This window comes from Homo sapiens, chromosome 17 (genome assembly GCF_000001405.40).
Source record: "Homo sapiens chromosome 17, GRCh38.p14 Primary Assembly".
In the NCBI taxonomy this organism is placed as follows: Eukaryota; Metazoa; Chordata; class Mammalia; order Primates; family Hominidae; genus Homo; species Homo sapiens.
Window position 1 is genome coordinate 55,612,391 of NC_000017.11, and position 26,526 is coordinate 55,638,916.

The 26,526-nt window shown below is 38.7% G+C and overlaps 1 long non-coding RNA gene across 4 annotated transcripts in view, besides 1 other annotated feature; it reads left to right on the top strand.

The window, feature by feature from the left end:
• The first annotated feature begins 569 nt into the window (after positions 1 to 569).
• LOC101927389 (uncharacterized) overlaps positions 570 to 26,526 on the top strand; it is a 35,673-nt gene continuing 9,716 nt past the window's right edge. For 3 of the 4 annotated variants that reach the window (XR_243722.5, XR_001752944.2, XR_934869.3), the window contains exons 1-4: positions 570 to 678; positions 5,135 to 5,263; positions 24,840 to 24,897; positions 26,262 to 26,460. This is a non-coding gene — a long non-coding RNA (uncharacterized LOC101927389). The remainder of the gene's footprint in view (positions 679 to 5,134; positions 5,264 to 24,839; positions 24,898 to 26,261; positions 26,461 to 26,526) is intronic. The other variant, XR_934870.3, reaches the window with a different exon arrangement.
• Positions 13,336 to 13,405: a silencer, noted in NCBI's record as "silent region_8735". NCBI's record gives its function as "represses an Ori minimal core promoter by ATAC-STARR-seq in GM12878 lymphoblastoid cells {active_cell/tissue: GM12878}" and the evidence as "EXISTENCE:reporter gene assay evidence [ECO:0000049][PMID:35858748]".

Here is a 26,526-nt window from a genome sequence, read left to right on the forward strand (position 1 = left end):
GGAGATGAGTTTAATGTTTTAAAAAATATTTTTGTTTTCTTATGGAAATCCTTTTTGATTCCATTCACAATGTAGAGGCTCCATCTATCTCTACCTGCTAGATCTCAGTATCCTTTCGTTACAGCAAATGTTTGTTGAGAATCTGCTTTATGTTCAGTATTATATGAGGCATGATGTAGATACAAAACATAAGCTCTGTCCTCCAGAAATTTATAATCTAGTGGAAGAGGTCAGTATTATATATTTAAGAAAAGACTAGTCTTTGTTATGGTTCGGCTCTCAAATTTCAGTGGCTGCTCATAACGGTTTACTTCATGTTCATGTGAAGGTCCTGGTCAGTTGGCACTTCTTCCACAGGCTGTGATTAAGAGGTTCTGGCTCCTTCCAACTTGCGTTTCTGCCATAAGACCTTGAATTTTCTGCTGAAACCTCTGCATCCAGCCTGCAGACAAGGGAAGGGAAAGGGTGGAAACTTGCACAGGAATTTTCCGTCAGCCAGTCCAAGAGGAGCATTTTTCACCTCCCCCCGTATTTCATTGATTAAAATTCAGCCATGTGGCTCCATTTACGCGAGGGAGTGGGGCAGCCTGGGGAAGATGTTTCTCAGCAACAGTGCTACCCTGCTGGACAGCTGGTGATTTTTACCATAAAACAAGATAGTAATAAGGATAGAATGAGGTAAAAAGCTTTATAATTACTTCCTTATATTTTTGTTTTCTGATTTTTATCTAATTGTTGTAATGAAATCAGTGAGATCCATGATTCAAGCTATTAAATCCATTGTGCCTTTCACCAACCCACCACTCAGTGGATAGTTTTTGTGGTGTCTACTCTCTGCCAGAGCCTGGGTAAGCAGGAAAGACTGAGGGAAAGATGCTTGCCCTTATAGATCTAGGGGTGTCCTTATGCATATACCAATCGTGAAGAAGTGGAGCCGTGTCTGGTATTTTACAGTGGCTTCAAGTTAGACAGACTTCAATTCAAATTCAAATCTTGGCCATGACAGAGGCCCTCTGTGACCTTGAGAAGGTTATTTAACCATTTTGAAATGCGATTTTCTCATCTACAAAGTGAGTCTTATCCCACAGTGTTGTCTTTATAAGAATTAAATAATAAATAATGTGTGAAGCACAAATGTCCTGGGTCTTAGAAACTCAAGGACACAAGAAAATAAGGTCTCATATATTATAAAAAATAATTTCTTAAAATCAAAAAAATTCATGATCATGATTAACATTTAAATAGTTGAGAAGGGCATAAAGTAAAAGGTAAAAGTGCTATTACCCTTTGCTTTAAGTCCTAACCCTCAGAGGTAATCATATTTACCCCTTCTTGCCTAACTTTCAGAGATTTTCTACGTGTAGGCAAGCATCTGCACATATATATCTATGCTTTAAAAAAATTCCGAATGGAGTTATGCTAAACAGGGTTTTGTATCTTTCTTGCTTTGTTACATCAGAGACCTTGGACATTTTCCCATATCATCATATATGAACCTATCTTACTTTTTTAATAGCTGAATAATGCCTCACAGTATGTGTATATGTCACAGTCTAAGTGTTCCCTATTGATAGATATTTGGCTTATTTCCTGACTTTTCCTATGGCTACAATGCTGTTACAAATCCCTGTGAACATTTATGTTTATATACATTAGAGAGCAGTTCTGTGGGATAGATTTCTAGAAATGTAGTAACTGAGACAAAGGTTACATGCACTTTATATTTTGACAGATACTACCCAATTACTTTCCAATTGAATTGTACCGATTTTTATTTTCACCAACCAATTTATGAGCATGCTTTTCCTTCCCCACATTTGTCACTAAATCACTTTTGAGATGGAAATGGAATTCCACTATTGCTCAATATGCATTTCGTTAATGACCAGTCATGTTGAGCATCTTTTCATGTTTATCACTATTTTAATTTTTCTTTTTTCCTCAGATCTATGTCCTTTGCCATCATTTATATAGGATTGTTTCTCTCTTTTTAATAAATAATGTTTAGGGGATCTTATTATAAGGCTATTATTTGGGTGTCAATTGTAAATATTTTCCAATTTGTTATTTTCAATCTTTGTTCATGGTATTTTTGCTATTTGAAGTATTTTTATTGCTATATTTATTGTTCTTTTATATTTTTGGTCTCTGGGTTTTGTACCATCATCAGGAGGGACTTTCACCCTAGAAGATTAATTTGAAAAAGTACTTTTGTTTCATTTCTTATGTTCAGGGTATTTTAAAAAACGTTTGAATCTTTGATATGCCTGGAATTTATTTTTGAATAATGGTTATGGTGGTAGGCATCTAGCTTTATTATTTTTTCTAAATAGGTAGTTATACTAATATTATATAATGAATACCTTACTTGTTCCCTACTCATACATATTACTCACTGCATATCCCCATGTATTTTGGTATGCTTTTGAGGTCTCTGTGATATCTGTCTTTTTCAGTACCAACAGCAAATAGTGTAAATTAATGAAGCTTTATAATTTTTAAAATAACATCTCACTAGTGCTCCTTCAATATTTTTCTTTGTCAGAATCTCCCTGATTTTCCCACATTTCTGATGCCATGATATAAGTCACTTATGTGATGTGATTTTATTCATTGCATTTACAAATTACTTTAGGGAAATTCATTTCTTTTGAACATGAGACCTTCCAGTTAAGGAATAATCAAGTGTATTATGTTCCTTAGATAAACTTTAATGTTTTAAAGTCAAGTTCCTTCACATTTCTTAAGTAAATATTCCTGAGTATTTTAATCTTTCATTTTCCTTTTGTAAATTAGATTAAAAATTTTGTTACATTTTTCTAACCTTTTTTTGGTTAAATTGTTATCAACCATTGACTCAGTTCTCTTATTTATTTATTTTTGGCTTTAACTTAATTTATTATATGTTATACTTTTTTTAATTGACACATGATAATTGTACATATTTATGGGGTACACAGTTATATTTCAGTACATATATACATTGTGTAATAATCGAATCAGGGTAATTAACATATCCATTACCTCAAACACTTGTCATTGCTTTGTGGTGAGAACATTTAAAATCCTCTCCTCTAGCTATTTTGAAGTAAACAATACATCGTTGTTGACTACAGTCACCTGCTGTGCAACAGAACTCCAGAACTTAAATCAATCTCTTATTTTTAAAAAATATTTTTAAAATGGCCTTTCTTAAGCTTTCCAAGTATAAATCACACTATCTGTAAATAATGATCATTTTTCCTTCTCCATTTTTTTAAACTTCTAAGTTATTTTTTATGTCACACTGCATTGGAAAGTATTTTCAGAAAGATGTTACATAAAGGTGGTGATAATGGCCCTTCCAACTCTGTTTTTTCCTTTGATGGGAATTTTATTATAACAGTTTACTATTAAACAGGTAGCATAGTTTGAGATACTAATTTTTTTCATATTAAAGAAAAATTCCTCATAACTTTCAGTATCTATTAAAATGAGTGTACGCTTTTTGGCCCTTTCACCTATTAATGTGGGTGACTTGTAAGAACATATTTCTTAACATTGAACTATTCTTAGATTTCTAAACAAGTCTCAGATGGTCCTGATATATTGTTACACAGTGCACTGCTATAGTGTCTTTGTAAGACTTATTTTATAATTTTTGCATTGATACGCACTAGATTGGGTCTTAAGTGCTATCTTTGATATTTTTGTTATTATTATGATGACTGTAAAATAATAACTTGGAAACTTCTTACTGTGTATTCCAGCAAGATTTAAAAAACCAGACTCTCTTTGACAGCTTGCACAATTGGTCTGTTTATTTTTTTCTTCCTTGAGTCAAGTTTGGCAGTTTCTGTTTTCCATGAAAAGAGTTCATTTCTTCCAGGTTTTAAAATCTGCTGCTTAGACCTTTGCAGCTATTTCATATAATTATTTTCATTTCCTCTTTCTCCATGGTTGTTTTTCTATTATTATTCCTTCTCACTTTTTTCTCTTGATTAATTTAGGTAATAATAATAGGTGGTTTACCTATTATTGTTTATTTTAGCTACTGTTTTCTTTCAAAGAATCACATTGTATATGTACCAGTTCTACTCTTTCTATTTTATAATTAATTAATTTCTGCCTTTGCTTTTATTGATTCCTATATATCCCTTTGCTTAAGCTTTTTTCAGTTATTCATTTTCTGCTTCTTTGTGTCAAATGCTTAATTAATTAATATATTTATTAATATTTTTAGTCATTAATTTTGTTCTAAATACAGCTTTATATGTCTTTGAGATTTTTATAAATATTTGCATTTTTAAAATATATAAAAGTTATGCCTTCATGTTATCTATATGGTCAAATAGTTATATAAGGCTTTATTAATGACACAAGAATTCCTACTCCTGGCACATGGTTGGAAGCAGATATGGAAAAAGGCAATAAAATTAACTTTAACACTTATACTGTGTCTTGTATGTATACCTTACTTTGACGTATGCCATGGAATTGCCTCAGGGAAGACCAGGGGATTCTCAGTGGATCCTTTTAGGTGGAAAGCCCCCATTCCTGCCTCAACCATGATAATTTCTCTAATTTCTTTTGTATATAGTATTTCATTTGAAAATTTTATAGGAAGAAAAGTCTTAACAGCTTATAATGTTTAAAACTTATTAAACTTACATACATGGACCGTGTTAAACTGTCCTTATGTAAACTGTCCTTATAATGTTAAACTTATTAAACTTACATACATGGACAGAAATCCAGTGGTAAAAACCCAATACATTATTTTGACTCCAGGAAGCCCTTGATAACAAGAGACATCATTATGCAATGTGGCACTAAGAAATAAAATGGTTCATTAAAATATGATATGCCATAGATTTTAAGAGGCATACCAATATCAGAGATGTTAAAATGTGAAAAATAGTTGCATCTTAATGTGGAATAAATATGGCATACACTTGTTAGGTATCAATTAGAATTAAAGTCCTAGATTTGCTTGATAATTTTTTGACTCTGTTCAAAGGGTAAGGTGACCAATGAAATACTAACGAAAGAGGAACTCCAGTAGAAGATTATTTGCTAACTAAACATCTGAGTTCAGCTTAAAAAGTGATATTTCAAACTTTTCTTCTCAATGTTCTCATTCTGGATGGTCCAGACACCACCGGCTTTGCTCCATCCCTTTGGGAAGACAGCACACCCAGAGCTCAAGTCTGCTGCTCATTCTGGAAGGGGAGATGTCCTGGGCCCAGGGTTTGGAAATGTCTTCTTGGACAAGCTTAAGCCGGTAAGCTCCCAGATGAGCTCCTGCTGTTTTGTTCTTCCACCCCGGGCCATGAGTGTCCCAGCGGGAGCCCCTTCTGCAGCAGTAGGTCCCACAGTTTGGAGGGCAATGGCGTCATCAACTCATCCTCACTCTTGGCATCCTCTGCTGCTTTCTTGACAGTCCTCCAGAGCATCTCAAAACTTCTCTGCACAGTGGTTCTGATGGCCTCAGAGCAGGAGTGTATAGAAACTAGCAGTCTGGAAGTCCATCCCAGAGCAGCCAACCCTAGATCTGAAAAATGTTTTATGTCTCCCTTCATCCTAAACATTTATACAAATTATGTATTTAATTTTGTGGTTTTTGAGCACAGACATAATATTTTCTCCAAAATTTTTAAGCAAAACATCCCAGGAAGATGTGCCCTAGGTACATCCTGTTGTTTTGTGTAACCCAAACACTATTGAACTAAGAGAATACTTAAGCTCCAGTTGCAGAAACACGGAAAAAGGACCCAGGAGAAACTGGGTTCAATCCCAACTGAGTCACTTAGGAATTATGCGATCTGGGAAAGTTACTTAAATTCTCTAAATTTCAGTTTCTTCATTTGTAAAAAGGGGATTAAAAACACTAAACTCACATGATTATTGCAAAAACAAAATAGTATATTTAGACCATCACAGTCCTGGGGGTGTGCTGAGTGCCCAACAACAGTTACTTTCCCCTCACTCTGTGTCCTCCCTTTCTTAAGAAATTTTTCCCCCCTGCCAGGCTCAGGCCTAGAGGCAGAGGACCAGATGGGATGTGGGTACCATCTAGTCTCCCCCACCTCTGCCAAATCTGTACCTCAAAGCACCCTAAAAGGATAGCTGTCTCACCTTGTCTTAAAAATCTCCAAACAAGCAAATTGCCACTATTTGGTAAATAATTTCACCTCACCAGATTTGTCCTTTCATGTATTTGCCTATTCACAAGAAACATACATTGGACTTATACTGTGCCAGGACTAGGCAAGGTCTCGAAATGTAAAAAGATGTTTGACATAATCCCCTTCCTTAAAATGCTCATAAATAGGAAAAATCTGGAAAAAAACAATCTCAGTGCCATGGAATTCATGCTATGATAAAAAGATACCCACAGTCTATTCCAGATTACACAGCATGGGCATCTTCTAGAATTTGGGAGGAGATGGATGACACAGAGGGAGTATTAGAAAGGCTTCCATGGCAGCAGACACCTGACCTGAAACCTGACATGCAAAGGTGAAAAGGGGTTTTGAAATTTCATTTCAGGCAAAAACTCAGAGGTAGAGAGCATGATTTGGGAAAGTGAAAGTTGTTAAACAAAACTCAGCATAGATATCATGAGGAATGCTGAAGGGACTGAGGTGGTGGACAATAGACATATCGTCCGGCTTTAGCCCTGTGAAAGTGAAAGAAAGAAAGAAATCCAAAGACAGAGAAAAAAGCAGTTTCTGTTGTAATCCAGGTAGACTATGTTGAAAGTCTAAGCTAATGGCTGGGGCAAAGTGAGAAAAGCCAGGTTTAAGAGACCAGGTGTGGTGGCTCACGCCTGTAATCCCAGCACTTTGGGAGGCCAAAGCAGGCAGATCATCTGAGATCAGGAGTTCAAGACCCGCCTGACCAACATGGAGAAACCCCGTCTCTACGAAAAATACAAAACAAACAAACAAACAAAAAATTAGCCAGGTGTGGTGGCGCATGCCTATAATCCCAGCTACTCAGGAGGCTGAGGCAGGAGAATCGTTTGAACCCAGGAGGCGGAGGTTGCGGTGAGCTGAGATCACACCATTGCACTCCAGCCTGGGCAACAAGAGTGAAACTCCATCTCAAGAAAAAAAAAAAAAAAAGAAAGGAAAAAAAAAAGACTTGAAGGAGATACAACCTTCAAAATAACAATGTACACTTACCGGGCTACGTAGAATCTGTCACTGTAGTTCTTAATTTCTACTTCCTATGCAGTATTAGGGATGTTGTTAAAAAAAGAGGCAATAGGAACATTGGTTGAGAAATTTGATATTTTAAATCTGATAAAAATAACAACAATAACATTATTTTTTAGCATATAAAGAATACACTATCTGTTGCCAAGTTAAGTGGTAAAAATGGTATTTCTAATCATTTTATTTTTTCAGCTGTTCATTCATTCTATGAAGTCAATATGATATTTTCAGGTTGATGGGAGAAATGTGTATAATAATGTGAGCTAAAGTACATTAGAAACTATAGCGTGCCATTATATACATTTGCTCATTTGATTTCTCCCAATGGCCTTTTGAAAAGTCCATTTATGCTCACTTTACATGCAAGATAACTGAGGCACAGATTTGCTTGAACAGTAGCTAAGCCAGGAATGAGTCTTATATTGGTTCAGTTTCAATGCCACACTGCCTCTCTGGATTATGCCGATATTGAGATCGAGATTCCTTCTTACTTTGGGAAGCTGTTGGGGATTCTGGGTTATAGCAGGAAGCTGCAGGAGGAGACGAGAATATGTCTTGCTTCATGTTAACTCTTTCTCTCTGACCCCCTCTAGACAAATCATTTGGCCTGCTATTGGAGGGGTGGGGGTTTATTTAGCTTCCCTGGATGTTTCTTTAGGGATGTTAAAAGGAACCAGCCAATACTAATCTCAAACAGGATATCCTTTAGGGAAAACACTCCACACTAAATACAAACAAGAGATTTCAAACTGAAGAATTGCAGATACTGAATAATCCCTTTGATTTAGTTCTTGGGGTTTGTGTGTGTGTGTGTGTGTGTGTGTGTACATGTGCACATGCGTGCATGTGTGTATGTGTGTAGTTTTAGAGTATCTCTTGGACTTACAGTGGACCACCCAGTAAGGATATGTGTGAATCCTTCTGCTGCCCTGCATAGATCTTGGTGAATGTATCTCCAGGGTTCTTTCTCCTTCTACATATGGTTTTTTGTGTGTGCACATGTTTTTTTCCATTGACTTCTTTATGTGCTGATGTCTCTCTTTGTCTTTTTTCTTTTTTTCTTTTTTGCCAAGGACCTTGCTTCTGGAGTAGGCAAGTCTGTTAGGACATTTAGAAACAAAAAGGATCAGTGAGCTCATTCCCCCTAAGTTCAGCCAGGACCACCAATGGTGAATCATGTGGATCAGGACTAAACTTCCACTGGGAACAAATCATCAGCAGACTTTGCTGTCTTCTGGCTTTAGTGTTTGGTCTTTGCCATCTCTTGGCCATGAAAGTAGGAACCTACTTCTAAGAGTCTTCTTGCTGAAGTTTGGTCAGTGTCCCAGTAAGAAGAGGGAGTGACACTTCACTCCCATAAGACTCTGCTGCATTTATGTTTGAAAATCCCTTTCCTGCTTTCCAAGTGTTCTTCTGAATACCCCATTGTTATAGTCATACTCACCACCCTTTCTAGGGATTTAATGGCTAAATCAGATCTTTTTTCATGGCACGTCTCAAGGCGGACCCCAACCCTTATCTCAGCAGCTGATCTTTCCCACTGAAAACCTGGTGCCAGTGTGTCCCAGAACCCTCTCAGCCTCTGAGAGAGTACTTCAGAGTAAACAAAGTGAAATACCAAGAGGATATTTACAGCCACTGACCAAACTCCCAATTTCCTTGGCTGGCTCTGGAGACAATGCAGTCCTGCATCAGCCCTCAACTGTACTGTCAGAAATTGATACGGGACCGAGATTGAGAAAATATTATGTTAAGCCATTCAATAGGCAAACAAAACATGGTCTTCCATTTCTTTAGAGGATCTGGGGCTAAATGTTTGTTTGTTTTCACAATGATATCATCAGTCATCGCAAATTCTGAGCCTCTCCTACCTAAACTTCCTGATCTATTTCCCAGGGACTCTTGAGAACCAGGCTTTGGAGCTGGGAGAGCCCATTGGCACCTAATACCTTGTGCTCCTCATGGCAAGGGAGATAGCTCTTCTCAGCAAGCTCTTGTCTACCAAGCTCCACTGTGCAAACTCATAAAACTCAATTCTCAGTGGAAGCATCTCATATATATTAATATATAGGTATTAGTCTGTTCTCATGCTACTAGTAAAGACATACCCAAGACTGCATAATTTATAAAGAAAAAGAGGTTTAATGGACTCAGTTTCACATGGCTGGGGAGGCCTCACAATCATGGTGGAAGGCGAAAGAGGAACAAAGGCATGTCTTACCTGGCAGCAGGTAAGAGATTGTGTGCAGGGAGCTGCCCTTTATAAAACCATCAGATGTCATGAGACTTATTCACCATTATGAAAATAGCACGAGAAAGACCCTCCCCCATGATTCAATTACCTCCCACTAGGTTCCTCCTATACATGGGAATTGTGGGAGCTACGATTCAAGATGAGATTTGGGTGGGGACACAGCCAAACCATTATCTATCTATCTATCTATCTATCTATCTATCTATCTATCTATCTATCTGTCTAGATGCTCTTCATGCCAAATGCCTCAAGACAAGTCCCTCTCTGGGCTAATATTATCAGTCAACTGATGCTGACAAATTGAAATCTCTAGATTTTGTTTTTCAGACCTGGAGGGAAAGGCAATCAACTACAGGGTATGCTTAAATTAGTTCCTTCTGCTTTCTAAGCAAATTCTTTCTCAAGAATCTAACCATGTATTAAGAATGCAAGATAGTGTTTTAGCATCTGTAATGTGTAGCAGGATTCCATTAGATGCTTGCACTTGACCTTTATAGTTATGTTCACTTTTTCCCAACCTCACACCCAGGTGTTCATATATCCTCATTTCTTTGGTTTTGTTTGTTGAAACTAGAATGCCTTTCTCTTTGCCTTGCAAAAAGGCTTATCATCTCTTCAGGCTTGACTTAAAGAACCCTTCTTCAATCCATCCCTTAGGAGGTGTTGTACATAATCTTCAGCCTCCTTACCTCTATGTTTTCCATATCTTTTCCACAATTTGCTCTTTCTACCATCACCTTTATGATATCCAGTGCTCTCTCCTAGAGCAGGAACCAGGGTCAGGCAAGTGAGGTGCCTAGGGTACAAGACGTAAGGAAGTGCTCACTTTCAGGGTTGTGCACTTCAGGTCTGAGCCCTGGGCATCTCACTCTCCTTGTCCTCATCCTGACCTGCTGTCCCAGAAAAATCCTCTTGAGAACGACTGTTATGACTCATATCGATCTAAGTATAACTGCACTGCTTTACAAGCAAATCCTATGTGTAGACTGCTTTCTCTTGATTTTTCATTTTAAGATGTTAGCTAATGATCTCTTACCTGGGCACAAGACAGTTCAGCTCTCTTAGAACTGTCCCCTACACCAGGCACACATGCTTTTCTCCCTACATTCTTACAACGTGATCACATCCCAATTTCACAATTTTGGGTTAAACAGTCTATGTTTACATTATCACGAACACTTAAGCATTATTATAGCTAAGTCTGTAGAATATAGTGTTTGCATTTCCTTCCTCTATAACTTTTTGCTTTTCTTAGAATTAAAGATTTCTTTAACGTTTTGTGTTTGCTTCATTTTTCAATTACCTACCATAACTGAAGCATAAATCATTGTCAGAACTGCAAAAGTCCTTTCAATAAGGCTTAAACACCAGGAAACCTACTGATTCCATCTCCTCTCACCTTGCTCCCCCAGCCCCTGAGTCCCCTACTCTGCACACTAGAGTGCCGGATCTCTGGGCTTGCTACTCAGCAGGCACAGTGAGTTTGCCCTTCATCTTTCTCCTGGGAATTGCTTCCCATCTCTGGTGCCTCATCTTTGTGTCCTCAATCTCAGGATTTTGTCATTCTTGATTTATTCTGTCTTTGGACAGAACACATCTTTGAGACCTTGCATGTACAACCATGTCTTTATTCTCTCCTCATACTTGATCGATAATTTGGGAATAGAATTCTGGGTTCAGATTACTTTCTCCAATAGCTTTGAAGCATTGCTTCATGGTCTTTTGGCTCCCAGCACTACTACGCAAAAGTTTGGTTCCTAATACTTGTATGTTGCTTTTCCCTTCTCTTTGGAAACTTTTAGGATCTTCTCTTTAGCCTAGTTTCTGAAATTTTAGGATGATGTATCTTGGGCTACTGTTGGGCACTCAGTATTTTGTTTTTCTTTTGGTTTAAATCTGGACATTTAGTTCTGGGAATTTCTCTTGTATTTGTATTTTGAAAGTTTCCTTCCTTCTATTGTTTTCTTTTTCCCCCCATTTCTCTTTCTAAAATTCTTATCAGTCGAATGTTGACTCTTGTTCCAGTTATCTATTGATATAAACCATCTCAAAGCTAAGTAGCTTAAAACAGTAGCAGTCGTTTATTTGGCTCACAAGTCTGCAATTCAGAGACTCCTCAGTTGGCGTAGCTTTTTCTCTGCTTTATGTGGCATCACTGGGTTATCTCCATTGGGAAAAGAATATCTGCTTCCAAGATGGGTCAGTCACAGGGCTGGCAGGGTGGTGGTGGCTCTTGATTGGGGGCTTTGGTACTTTCCACATGAGACTCCATGGCGCTGCTTGAACTTTCTCAGAGATGATGTCTGGGTTCTAGATATTACAGGAGGCCTGGATAGAAATTGCAGGGCTTCCTATGACCTGGCCTTGGAAGTCCCACAGTATCATGTCTACCAAATTCTATTGGTCAAGCAAATCACTAAGACCAGCTCAATTTCAAGGGCAGGGGATTAGACTCTACCTCTCAATGAGAGGAATAGCAAAAAATTTGTAGCCATCTTTAATCTACCATAGCACTCATTCCTCTAATTTTTATATATTTCTCCCATATTTTTCCATTTCTGATTTTTCCTTAGATTTTTAGATTTTCTCAACTTTATTTTCCAACCATTCAATTGACTTTTAACAGCAACAAAAAAGTTAACCATATTGGTGTATTTCCATGAACTCGTCCCTGAACTCATCAGTTCTTGCTCTATAGACACAATATTTTTTCATATTATCTGAGGATGGAGGTTGCAGTTTGTTAGTTTTGGTTTTCTTCTGCTCCATGCAAATTCTCCCTTTTTCCTATTATTTTTCTGTCAATTTGTCTTTTATGTTAGAGACTCTTCTCAAACTTTTGGCATTCTTTGGCTTAGATGCTGACAAGGAACTCTGGGTGCAAAGGACAAGTATGTTGACTCTTAGGCATCATGATAGGGTGATCAGGTCTGGGCCAGCTTTTTCATCAGATGAAATGTTAGTATCTGTAGGTGCTTTTCTGGGATCAGCCCAGAGAGAAGAAATATCTACATCCTGTCTAGGGAGTATCTTAAGACTGCCTGACAGAGACAGTCTGGGAGCTACAGAGTCAAAAAGAGCTAAGAGTCTTACCAAGCAAAATGCAGACATTCATTTTTATAGTCCTGTTTTTGGTATGACACTTCACCCTGCTCCCATCTGCACCTGACATCCGCAGTTCGTAGCTACTGTGGTTCACTGCTCCAGAGATCCAGCCTCCAATTTTTAGTCTGGCTTGGGGAGGAACTCCCCTGGTTGCTTAGGAGTAAGGAGAGGGTGAGGGGAATCAACTGCCCTATATACAGACTGTCAACCCATCCTGTTTTCAGTCTTATGGCTCAATTCTGCTCTCAGAGGTATCTAGTATCTCAAATTCCAGAGCCTTTCTAGACTCCAAATCAGCTTAGCTTATTTTGATTTTCTCTTAGCAGTCTTCGGTTTCACTTTCTTCTTTAGTAAATCTGTAACCACACAATTATCCTTTTTAATCTTCAAAAATGTTGTTAACATTAAAAAAATTTATTGTCCTTTTTTCTATTCTCTTTGTCTTTATGAGTTTTCACCTTTTCCCCCATTACCATCATTTTATTAAGGTTTTGAAAGGGCAGGGAAGTAAATATGTGTTGAGTTTGACATGTTTAACCAGAAATCTGCCTGTATATTTTCCCCTGGTGAGGAACAGTTGAGTGTTTCTTTTGAGATAAAAACAATCTCCTTCTAGATGACCCTGAGGAGATCCAAGGAGTGGGCTGAAGAGTCCCTCCTTTTTGACCTGCAGGATAAAAGTGTACTTAGTACTACTCTAGAAAGTGTGTAAGCAGCTAGCAGCCCTGGCTGCTGTGGGGCCCCACAGATTCACTTCTCACACAGAGACAGGCAGAGTCACATACAGCCTAAGTCCTCTGGGTGCCTCCAATTCAGGGACCAAACAAAAACCACAGCCAACATGTTTTGGATGTGTAAGTCACTAGGCTAAGCAATTACATGTGATGTGTCTCATTTAATTCTCATAACAACCTTATGAGGAATGTATTATTATTATTAAACTGTACCTCTATTTTAGAGATAAAAGCATCTGAGCCACAGAAAATTCTTAGCACCTTTCCAAGACCACAAGTCTTGGAAAGTACGTGGCAGAGCAACCCAGGAGGTCTACTTTTCAGACTACTCTGTTGTTACTCCACTTTGCCTCTTACTTGTTCATCACTTGTGTGAAGTGGGAATCCAGTTACCTCTCTTGTCTGGGGACCATCACATGTGGGCCAGAGATTTTTGTCCCTGGCCTGGGTGTTGAAGCCAGGAGAGACCCATCAACCTTTCAAATATGAAACTAAGATATATGGGAAAATGTTATCTTGGGCCACTGTCAGTTGGGTGAGGAAGATGAAGATTGGAGCATGGAGGATGGGAGAGAATCAGAAATGTATCCCAATAAATGTATAAACTGTATGTATGGGCTGGGCGTAGTGGCTCACGCCTGTAATCCCAGCACTTTGGGAGGCTGAGGTGGGCAGATCACTTGAGCTCAGGAGTTCGAGACTAGCCTGGGCAACATGGTGAAACCACATCTCTATGATTTTTTATTTTAAATTAGCCAGGTGTGGTGGTGCATGCCTGTAGTCCCAGCTACTTGGGAGGCTGAGGTGGGAGGATGGCTTGAGCCTGGGAGGAAGAGGTTGTAGTGAGCAGAGATCACACCACTGTACTCCAGCCTGGCCAACAGAGCCAGATCATGTCTCAAAAAACAAACAAAGCAAAACTGTAGGTATGAATTAGGTTTTAATGTATAAATGTCTTTTATGTGCCAGGCATTATGATTGGCACATGCAGACTTATTATTTGGCTTAAGGTTTAAAACAGCCTTAAGACAAAGGTAAACGTGAGACTTCCTTACTTTTCAGATAAAGTAGCACATAATCAGATTGGTGAAGATGTCTACTCAAGGTCACATGGGTAAAAAACCACAGAACTGGAACTCCAACCCAGACCTCTGGACCTAACTCAAGCCTAGTTCCCTTTTTAAGGGAAGATTTGATTGTTCTCAGTTAAAAAAAAAAATCTACTATGGAAATCCTTTATCACATGGTTCGGTATGTATCAGGCCTTAGAATGGGCTAAGAGGTAAAAATGATCTGGCTTTTATTAAAAGTGGACATTATCTATAGATCTCGAGCAAATGACTTTACTTCAGGTTTCCCACCTGCTAGATGGAGGTAATAACATCTTTCACGTAGACATAACAAACATAAAATAGGGATTATGCCACACAAGGACTTCCAGTATCTGCTTAGGGTCTAACTGCTGAGGAGTCAGGGCAGTGGGACTAGGGGGTTCTGAGATATTACAGGATTTCCGGAACTGAGGCAAAGGAAGAAAGTTAAGAAGGCTCTTGGCTGTGCCTGGTGAGAGGAGAGACTAGATGGCTCCTACTGTGAGGGTGAAGAAGGCTTTCGCAGGACAGAGTCCAGTCACAGTGGAGCAGCATGGTGTAGTGCACCTTCTCAATCTTTAGTGTGCACACGGATCTCTCAGGGGTGGTGGTAAAAAGCAAATTCTGATTTTCAGGGTCAGGAGTGGGACCTAAGATTCTGCCTTTCTTATAAGCTTCCCGGGATTGCAGCCTGCTGGTCCTGGGACCAAAATCTGAGTTGCAGAGTTGAGGAAAAGTCAGAAGATGTGGGCCTGACTAATTGTGGCATCTGTGGCAAGCCACTTACAGTCGTTCTACGGCCTGGTTGATTCTCAGATTCTTTATCTTTAAAATGAGGGAATATAGCACCGAAGCAGAGATATTTATTTTTTGAGATAGGGCCTTTCTCTGTTGCCCACGCTAGAGTGTAGTGGCATGACTGTGGCTCACTGCATCCTCGACCACCTGGGCCTGAGATCCTCCTTCCTCAGCCTCCTGCATAGCTAGGACTACAGGGCGTGCCACCAGGTCCAGCTAATTTTTAGGTTTTTTTTTGTAGAAATGGGGTCTCCCTATGTTGCCCAGGTTAGTCTCAAATCCTGGGCTCGCATGATTCTCCTGCCTCCTTGGCTTCCCAAAATGCTGGGATTACAGTGTGAACCATTACACCTAACCAGAGATATTTAGATGTGTACTTTGCTTTGAATGTTTGTAAAAGTGTTTGGGAAATTTTAAGGCACTGATATGGTTTGGCTTCGTGTCCCCACCCAAATCTCATCTTGAATTTTAATCGCCACATGATGAGGGAGTAACCTGGTGGGAGGTGATTGGATCATGGAGGCGGTTTCCCCCATGCTGTTCTCATGTTAGTGAGTGAGTTCTCATGAGATCTGATGGTTTTATAAGTGTTTGGCAGTTTCTCCTTTGCTGTCTCTCCCTCTCGCCTGCCACCATGTAAGACATGCCTTGCTTCCCCTTTGCCTTCCACCATGATTGTAAGTTTCCTGAAGCTTCCCCAGCCATGTAGAACTGTGAGTCAGTTAAACCTCTTTTCTTTATAAATTACCCAGTCTCAGGCAGTCCTTTATAGCAGTGTGAGAACTGACTAATACAGGCACCATTTAAATTTAAGAGGCTATTTCTATTGTGTCTGTTTAATAAGCAATTTATTCTGAATCCAGCAAACTCAATATGTGGCTTATAACAGAGTTTGGATTTCTAAAGTTTTAAGGAAACATGTTAATGGGTTAATTTTGTTTTCTTTAAACCAAAAGCACTCCCTATCTCTTCCATTTAAGACATTTATGAAATTACAGTGGTCTTTGAGGATTTGCTTCTTCTTACTTTAAAATTCTTCTGACTTGACATAATGGAAGTTATTTGATCAATCAGAAATTCCTGGAATTGGCAAAGCCTGTATCCATTTCCAGGAGAACTCAAATGGCTTCAATTTATGGTGACTTGAAAATGGAGATGAAGAAAAGGGCTATGAGTAGAATTTAAGAAAAACTTATGACGTAGGAAATGAATAAATAAAACTAAAGAAAATTACACCTATCATAACAAAGAGATAGTGATTTTTAAGAAGGCCTTTGTAAATTTTAAAGCACTATAAAATGTCTAATATTTGACTATCAAGATAATAAAATTCAGAAAAATCTCTGGGGTCAGAACTCAATACATAATTTATACTGATCAGATTCAATTAGCATAATGCTTTCTGCTCTGAACTTTCAGCTAATTTAATGATTGTAATAGTAACAATAATAATGATTGTCATTGCTAAAAGAGATGCTATATGTAATTAGAAAGAGATAAATTGAAGGAAAGACTGATAAGCAAAAAAGGGCAGAAGTCGCTGGCTTTTAAAATTACCAGCCCTTCAAATGGAAATCAATGCTAAAATCAAGGTATGGTTTCAAGATCAAATCTAGGGCACTTCCAGGAAAACATCATCTAAATATGAAGCGGAGCCTGGAATTATGAAATTCTTTAAGATCTCAAAAAAATTCAAGGACACTTTCATCAAACAATAGTGCTTCTAAGGCTGTTGCCCCTCAGGAACTTCATCAGAGCCAAAGGTAGAGAAGGGCAGATCTCGAAGACATTTGTGAGTATGGCTTTTGTCTAATGGAGTAAAGCCTAATAAAATTTATAGAAGACTCACAACATTGTTAAGATAATAACATTGTCAGAAACACTGTTTGCTTAGAGTGAAAGGGGAATAGATAATATGGAATGAAAAAAAATCAGCTGAACCCCAAAACTTCTATAAGCAGCAAATAGCCTGAGAATACTAGTGAATTGCAAATTTGAGCTCTTTTTCAAGGAAAAAGAAGGCCAGAAATCAAGAGCCCAAAAGCTCTTGATAATACTCCAAGAACCATGGATTAGACCTAGAGCCTAATCAAGGAACTGCTAACATGTATTCTAATCGATTTTAGAATTGCTATGTATGGATACTCCTGTAAGCCTCCTTCCCCCCACCTTTTTTGAATGGGAAAGTCTATTACGATCATCCTATATCATCCCACTATTGTGTGTTGGGGGTGGAAAAACTTGTCTCTATAGTTCACAGATTTATAGATCAAAGGGACCTGTACTTGAGTGAGCAGCTGATCTTCTGGGACCATACCCAAGGGAGCCTCATTTGCACTGGGACACAATTTAGATGACAAAATCTTAGACCTGGGTGCTGTAATGGGATGAAAATGTTAGATGCCCTGGAAGGGAGTCTGTGTATTTTGCATGTGGGATGAATATAAGCAATTCGTGGTCTGATGGGAGACTGAGGGAAGAGGGTCTAAAATGGGTACACAAGTTCTCCGACATGCCGCACTTCAAAAGGTGCGTCTTAGGTCTTCTCCCTTCGAATTTAGGATGGAACTTGGTGACTCACTTCCAATGAGTAGAATGTAGCAGATGTGAGGCTCTGACTCTGGAAAGGTCATTAAAATAACAGATGACATCTGGCACTCTCTCTTTTGAGTTCTGCTCTGCCTTATTGTGAAGATATTCAAGCAGCATTTAAAAAAATTTAAATAAAAAAAAATTTTTTGGGATGGGGTCTGGCTATGTTCCCCAGGCTGGCCGTGAGCTCCTGGGCTCAAGCGATCCTCCCACCTTGATCTCCCAAAGTGCTGGATTACAGGAGTGAGCCACCACTCCCGACCTCAAGCAGCCTTTTGTAGAGCCTTTTTTGTGGAGAGACTTAAGCCTCCCACCAACAACCAGCACTGATTTGCCTGCCTGGTGAGTAAGCCACCTTGAAAGTAAATCTTTCAATCTCAGTTGAGACTTCTAATGACTAAATCCCCACCCAGTCACAGCATCAGTGGAGTATATTTGACATATTATAGAATTGAACCGCTTCAGGTGTTACAATTCAATGATTTTTAGTAACTTTATTGAGTGATGCAACCATCACAATTAATCAATTTGGGAACATTTCATCCTCTCAATCATATTCCTCATGCCAATTTATAATAATACCCCTTCCCTCATCTCCCCTTAAGCAACCATTAATTTACTTTCTGCATCTATAATTTTGCCTTCTCTAGACATTTCATATAAATGGGATAATAACATGTGGTCAATTGTGTCTTGTTTCTTTCATTTAACATAATGTATTTGAGGTTCACCCACATTGTAGTGTTTATTAGTAGTTTGTTCCTTTCTTTCTTTGCTGAATAGCATTCAATTCTATGAATATATCACATTTTATTTTATTGATGACATTTGGGATTTTTACTTTTTTGCTCTTATGAATTTTCACACGTAAGTCTTTTTGTGCACATGTTTTCCCAATATAACTATGTTTAACTACTTGAAGAATTGCAAAAGTTTTCTACAGTGGTGCTGCATCCTTTTATAATCCCACCAGCAGTGTATGAGTGTTTCTATTTCTCCACATTGTTACCAACATTTATTATTAATTGTCTAACTTATCGTAGCTTATTTAGTGAGTGGGAAATGGTATCTCACTGTGGTTTAAATTTGCATTTCCCTAATGACTAATGATGTTGAACATCTTTTCACGCACTTGTTAGCTATTCATATATCTTCTTTGGTGAAATGTCTGTTTACATCTTTTATCTGTTTTGTGATTGGGTTGTTTGTCTTTATTGTTGAGTTCGAAGTGTTCTTTGTAAATTCTTGATGCAAGTCCTTTATCAGATAAGTGTTTTGCAAATATTTTTCTCTTTGTCTGTTGCTTATCTTTTTATTTTCTGAGTGGAGTCTTTTGTTTGAAGTGCCAATGTTTTAAATTTTCATGAGGTCCAATGTATACTTTTTTTTTCTTTTGTGGACCATGTTTTTAGTGTTGTATCTATGAATTATTTGCTTAACCTAAGATCTTGAATATTTTCTCCTAAACATTTTATTGCTTTAGCACTTACATTTAAATCTGTGATCCATTTTGAGTTAATTTATGTGTATTGTATAAGGTGAGGGTCTAAGTTCAATTTCCTTGGCACCACTTTAAATTTTTTTAATTTTTAATTTTTTAAATTGACATATAATATTTGCACATATTTGGCATACACAGTGATGTTGAGATGTATGTATATAATGTGTAGTGATCAGATAAGGTTAATTAGCATACATAGCATCTCAAACATTTACCATTTCTTTGTGTTGGGAACATTCAATATCCTCCTTCTAGCTATTTGAAATTTTATAACATAATATTGCTAACTATAGTCACCCTACAGTGTCAGCCCCATTTTTGAACTACTGTTTCCCCAATGAAGTGCCTTGCTCCCTTGTCAAAAGTGATTTGGCCATAAATCTAAGGATTTATTTATGGAACAGTGCCACATTGTTCCTGATAATTATAGCTTTATTAAAGTAAGCTTGGAAATTAGGATGGGAAATTCCTCTAACTTTTTTTTCAAATTGTTTTGTCTATTCTAGGTGTTTGCATTTCCATATACATTTTAGGATGTGCTTGTCAACCTGCTCAATATTTTGACAGCAGTCTCCTGGGAGACCCTGAGCCAGAACTGTCAGCTAAGTTATTCTGGGTCCTTGACCCACAGAAACCGTCAGGGATGATAATCATAAATGTTAGTTTTTATTTTAAGCCACAAAATTTTGGGTAATTTGCTTCACAGCAACAGATGACTAATACAACCACCCAACTTTATTTAGCGTGTCCTGGCATGACATGTGGTACCTCTAAAAATCATGCTGCTTTCAGATTTGAAGATTTACTGCTATTGAGGAAAAGCAAAAAATAAGTGGCAGATGGTAGAAGCAGATGAGCTAGGGAGAAGAGGGAGGAATGAGGAATGGGGTAGAGGAGATCTGCAGCAGTGGTTGGCAAGCTATGGCCTGAGGGCCAACAGGGCCAGAGCCTGTTTAAGAATGCTTTTTATATTTTTAAAACACTGTGACCCTTTACAGAAAAAGTTTGCTGACCCCTGGTCTAGAGTGCTGAAAAAGGGTCTGGATGGAAGATAAACATTGTGGAGTTATCAGCATCTAGGTAATATTGGCAATTATGAGAAGGGATGGTTTGATATGTATATCTCAGTTGTGTTTCCTAGGTCTGTTGCCACTGGAGAGGAAATATATTCTTGGGTCCCCCAGGCAAAAGATCAGATATGTAAGTCATCATTTGGGACTACCCCTACCTACCCCAGGGATGAGGGAAATGCATAACTTACCTATATCCATTCCCAGCAGGCTGAGAGTCTTATTACCACCAGTAAGGCTTGGGCTCTCTGGGAAAACTGCAGTCCTTCAAGGTGTGGGCCTGTACTTAGCAAGCCATGGGGCAAGTGAAGACTTCCAAAGGATGACTCATCTCAGCTGGCTGTTGGCTCCATCTCCCCATTTTCCCTTTGTGTCCAAGGCCTGCCTCCTTGGCCGGCATCCTCCAAGGAGGCTGGGCACGTGCCTGTGGTTTCCAAAGTCATTTGGACTTAGCCCTCCAAAGCCCAAGAGTAAGAGAGGACACCCAGTTGGGCCTGTGTCCACCCAAGTTGGCTGACTGTTCTGAACCTGAATTACTATGATAACTGAAAGTACATAAATGGCCCCTGATAACATCTGTGTGGGTTTTTGTATAAGTCCTTAGGACCTGAAGAACAAAAGTATTCCGTTTGCCAGATGCCACATTCTGTGGATTTACCCACCACAAATCTTTCCAAGCACCATGATCTCAGCATGCTCATGATCTATATTCAACCTTCTCTGCCTTATAGTTTGTAAATCCCTGCAGCTGTAGGTGAAGTCAATCTTTTCTCTTTCTGCTTGCAGTTAAATGGAAATCAGCTCTTCAATTCACACTTAATTTTCAATGGAAAGGACCCAGTTCCATTTTATTTAGTGCAAATAGCAAATGGCAAAGATACAGATTTCATTAATTGCTTGTGTTCCCAGGGAGATGGAAGATGGGATGCTAGACATTTCTGAAGATCTCTCTGGTGTGATGGAAAGAGCTCCAGACTTGGGGTCTGTCTTAGTCTGTTTGGGCTCTCATAATAAAATACTGGGTAACTTACAAACAGCAGAAATCTATTGCTCACAGTTCTAGAGGCTGGAAAGTCTAAGATGAAAGCACCAGCGGATTCGGTGTCTGGTGAGAGTCTTTTTCCTCATAAACAGGGTCTTTTACTTGTGTCCTCAAGTGGTGGAAGGGTGACAAACTCCCCCAGGCCTCTTTTATAACTGCATTAATGGCTTTCATGAGGCAGAGTCTTCATGACTTACTCACTTCCCAAAGGCCCTACTCCTTAATACTATCACATTGGGGCTCAGGATTTCAACATGTAAATTTTGGTGGGACACAAAACATTTAGACCATAGCAGTGTCTGAAGAACTGAATTAAAATTCTAGCTTTAAGTGACCTTGAATAGTCATTTTTTAGCCTGAATGAACCCCAGTTTACTTATTTTGTATCGTGGGGATTAGGCTGAGTGTTATACTTGATGGCAGTTATAAAGACATTTGTACCTTGCAAATTTGTATGCCTGAGGAAAGAGATGTTTTTATTTTATTTTCAAAGGTGAGGTAATAGGTTGAATCTCTGTCCAATGTAGAGTTAGAGTTTCTGTTTACCAAAATTAATATTGCAGATTTTATCTAGTTAGGGCATAAATGAACAGAGAGTTCCTAAATTGAGAATACCATATTTTCTTCCAGAAAATCCAGTGACATCCAGTTAATAAACTCTTTTCATAAACACATGCCTCCCTGGAACTGATGATAGATGGGGTGAACTTGCTATATTTTTCATATTTAAGATGAAAGGCAACTTTATGAGTCCCCGACTAAAGCCTAAGAGAATCAACTCCAAAGAAACATAGCTCTCACAGTCTTCTTCCCACACATTCCTCTTCTTCTAAAATTGGTTTGTCTTTTGTTGTTGTTGTTTTTATTTTGAAGGATTACTCCCTCAGGAAGAAAATAAATTCAATCTTTACCAAGATTTTAATAGAGGAAATATCAACCACCCCAGGTCAAATGCAATGGGAAAGCAAGTTTGACCTTGTTCGTGAGACAAGCATATGTCTTCATTCATTTCATCATTCTCCTTGATAAAGTTGCAGTCTCATTGAAAAGCTTTTACATTGACAGGGCCAAATACCTACTGAATTTCTCTCACATGAAGATGGGGAGGCCGCTTCTGGCTTTGGCTGGGATTCTAGGAGTCAGATTTAGGATGGTGAGAGATAGAAAATCTGGCAAGAGCTTTCACGGCTCCCTGCCATTTTAATCTGCAAACCTGAACTTGCTTTTGTGCCTAACCATATTTAGATTGGTGTCTAGATTTCATATGATCTGTTTGTTTCTGACTTGCCTCCCTTCTCAGATGGTGCATCTGATATCTTCCTTGTAGGGTTTTTATTCCACAACTGTCGACAAGGGATGCCATGTCTCTTTCTTGGCCCATGTTTGAGAATGTCCTCAAATCCATTTATCTGAACCTAAAAGCTTGACCCCTTTACATTTAGAGTGAGAACTAAAGCATTTGGTACAAAGTATACACTAAGGAGTGGATCTTTTCTCCCACTTCCTCTCCTTCAGTTACAGCACAAGATCACAGCTCTGTCCACGATCATGTCTAACTTTCATTTTCATCCCTTTCCAGGATTTAGGTTCAGCCTTTAGTCTGCTGAGACATGAGACTTTAGAGTCTGTCTTCGTAGGTTAAAAATCTTGGATTGGAACCCAGATGTGTGGGCAGCCAGCTCAGGGGTGTGAAGCTTACACAATAAATTGGACATAACAGAGTTCCCGTGCAACCATTTGCACCAGTTACCTTTCCTTTGCAGCCTTGCTATTGTTTGCAGACAGAATGGCTAAAGGTTATTTCTGATCCCTTGAGGGACCTTATCAGGATTTATATCAGTAATTAAAAGCATGCTGCCTTAGGCAGCTGAATGCATCCAACAGTACACTTTCAGGCAGGAAACAGTGAGTTACTCCCATTCACTCCCTACCAACTATAGCACTTATTTGAACACTTTATCTTGGTCCAGCTGCCAGAAAACTTTCATTCTCTTCCCTTACATGCAGGGAGCCGCCTTTCCTTGGATATCTGAACCTGGAAACATTTAACATTCTCCCAGGAAATAACCCCATTCAAAGCTATTGTTTTTAAGTGCTAGAGTGATTGACTTGAAAGTAACTTGCGTAAATCAGTGGTGTTGATTACTAAACACAATGGTAATTACTAGGGAGGATAATGAAAACACAGTATAGTTGTATAAATAATATGTGACAATTGAAAGTAGAACCTATAATGGGCTTTTAATATCATTTACTGCAGTTAAAGGAACGGAGTTGGGAGGTACGTGGCTTGCGTGCTTATGCTATTTTCCCTGTTTCCTCATGTGGCAAAAATTGTTAAGTAATCACAGTATTTTCGTATCTGTACCTGAAAGCTTCACAGCTCTGTCCACTGGTTGAATCCTTCTCAACCAGTTCTTCGGGTAGCCATTATCAGCCAATTAGTTTTCTCTAAAAAAGTAAAATAAGGTTTTCTATCCTAACAATGGAGTATATATGTTCACATTGGACAGTGAGTTATTTAAGGGTGATGACAGGTTTTATTCACCTCTGTGTTCCTAGCACGCAGACTCAGTACTTGACACATAATAAATACTCGGTAAATAGTTATTAAACAGAACACCTGATAATGCTCAATTGCTGATTAAGCACTCCCTATTGAGTCAAGAAGAGTTCCCCACCCAGTGTGTTTATATGTAGAATGAGCTAGGGATATGTAGATACACTGCCTTCCTTAGTTGTTAAGAAGCTTTTCTGAAAGTGGACAGAGCCCCCGAGGCAGAGGCTTCCTCCTGTAAGCAGCCTTATCTAACCACTTTAGTGTGCTCCTACATGTGTCATCATTTTCTTTGTTTAGCCTGATGTGAAAGTTGGACTAGGTTGGATGATCCTCTCTGGATAACATTAAGTTTGAGTAACTCACACTGATATTAGCTCACCTAGATAATAGCTCTATATTTCTTGATGAAGTATTTCAATTCCTTAAGATCTCAGATAATCACAATCAGAAAAATACATTAACCATGTAAAGAAAGAATCTGCCTAACAATATTTAGATTGGTGTCTGGGTGTCATACGAGACTTTAAAGATGGAGAGGCCCAGGTAGCAAGGATCTGAGGGAGATCTCTAGGATGTAACAGCAGCCTCTAACAGCTGAGAGAAACCCCCATTGACAGTCAGCAAGAACGAAGCAACTGAATTCTGCCAACAACCATGTGAGCCAGAGGACCACGAGATCCAGATGAGAATGCAGCCCAGATGATACAGTGATTTCAGCCTTTGAGGCCCGGAGTAGAGAAGCTAGCTATGTCGTGCTTGGGCTTCTGACCTACAGAAATTGTGACATTAATAGTGGTTGTTTAAGTCACTGTATTTGTGGTAATTTATTATGCAGCAATAGAAAATTATAGAAAGTATTTTTAATCTGATCTGTTTGGGTCTCTTATCAGTCTCATTGAAGATTTTCAATGGCCTTTCGGAATTACGGGACTTACCCAGCTCTGCCAGGTATTATAGATATGTATTTTCACGCATGTCTTTCTAAATAGCTTGTAAGCTAGCTGAAGATGGAGTCTAGTTCTTCTCATTGTTCCTCCTTAAATAGTCCAGTGTAGGGCTTAATAAATATTTGTTAGTTTGGAAGGCCAAGGTGGGAGGGTTTCTTTAGTCCAGAAGTTCGATACCAGCCTGGGCAACATAGCAAGGTTCTGTCTCTACAAATTTTTTTTTTAATTAGCTGGGTGTGGTGGTGCATGCCTATAGTCCCAGCTACTTGGGAGCCTAAAATGGGAGGATCCCTTGAACCCAGGAGATCAAGGCTGCAGTGAGCTATGATTGTGCCACTGTACTCCAGCCTGAGCAACAAAGCGAGACCCTGTCTCAAAAAAAAAAAAACCAAAAAAAAAAAAAACTTTTTTTATTGGGTTGAATTGCATTTGTAAAGCATTTGGTCTTCTGCAAAACATTCATTGCCCTGATCTCAGGTGAGCTTCACTGCGACCAAGATATTGAGATAGGGTAGAGAAGGAAGCTAAAGCACAAAAAGGAGAAGAGATTTGCCTGGGGTTAAAAGCAATAATCTCTACAGCTTCATAATTCCCAGTCCAGTATGCTTTCACTACATTAGCGCTTTCTCCACGACAAGGATTAGGATGTAAAGTATCTTAACTTTGAGTGGAATTTTGTTGCAAAAGACCTTGAGGGTTCTGATGGTTCTAAACCAAGGGGAACAATGCCGAGACTTTTGAGTTCCATTTTGTATTTTCCAGAACATTAGGACTTACGTGCTTGTTTTTCCTGCTCCATTTCTGAAGGACAAGATAATCAAGGAAAATGTTCCTTTGCTTTATAATAAGATCAAAATGACAAACTTGTTGCCTTAAGGCATTATTTCAAAGGCATTCACTCTCATGAGTATCTTGGCTGTTCAAATTTAATCTGAGCTTATTAGAGAAATTAGGGTTCTTGGCATTTTTGAAGGTACCCCTCTAATGGCATTAGACCATTAGATGGTTCAGATCACCAGATGATTTAGAAGGACTTTAGAATTGAGCATACTATTTCTTGGTGCCAAGACCATCTGGATTCTTCAAATGTCAGCATTAATTAATTATTAATTAATTCAATTCTTTAACAGGTATTTGAGTGCCCACTATGTGAGAGCCACTATACAAAGCACCAGAAATAAAGTGGTATACAAAAACAGACCTGCTCTCAGCTTCTCAGTGAGCCAGTCATGTTGTAAAGCTGTCCTTGATTCCAAGGAAGAGTTTTAGAACTTCAACTCTATGACCTGTCTATTCAACCCACATATGAGACAGATCCATTATAATCATTACCCCATTGTATAACAGCTCTTTTTTTGCCTCTAGGTTTATTAATCCAGCCTATAAGCTTCTCTAGACCTAGGACTATGGTGCCTGCACAGAAGATGTGCTCAACATATAACTGATTAAATAACTTAATGAGTAAATGAAGGACTGGACTCGTTTGTGGGCCATATTTGGAGGTGACTTTGTAAACTCTAACAGCATGGGATTTTAATAAGCTGTCTTCATAGCTTGGACCATGGTAGGTATTCAATACATATTCATCGAACGCAAGTGTTCTTCGCAATCAGGGAACATTTTATTTGCT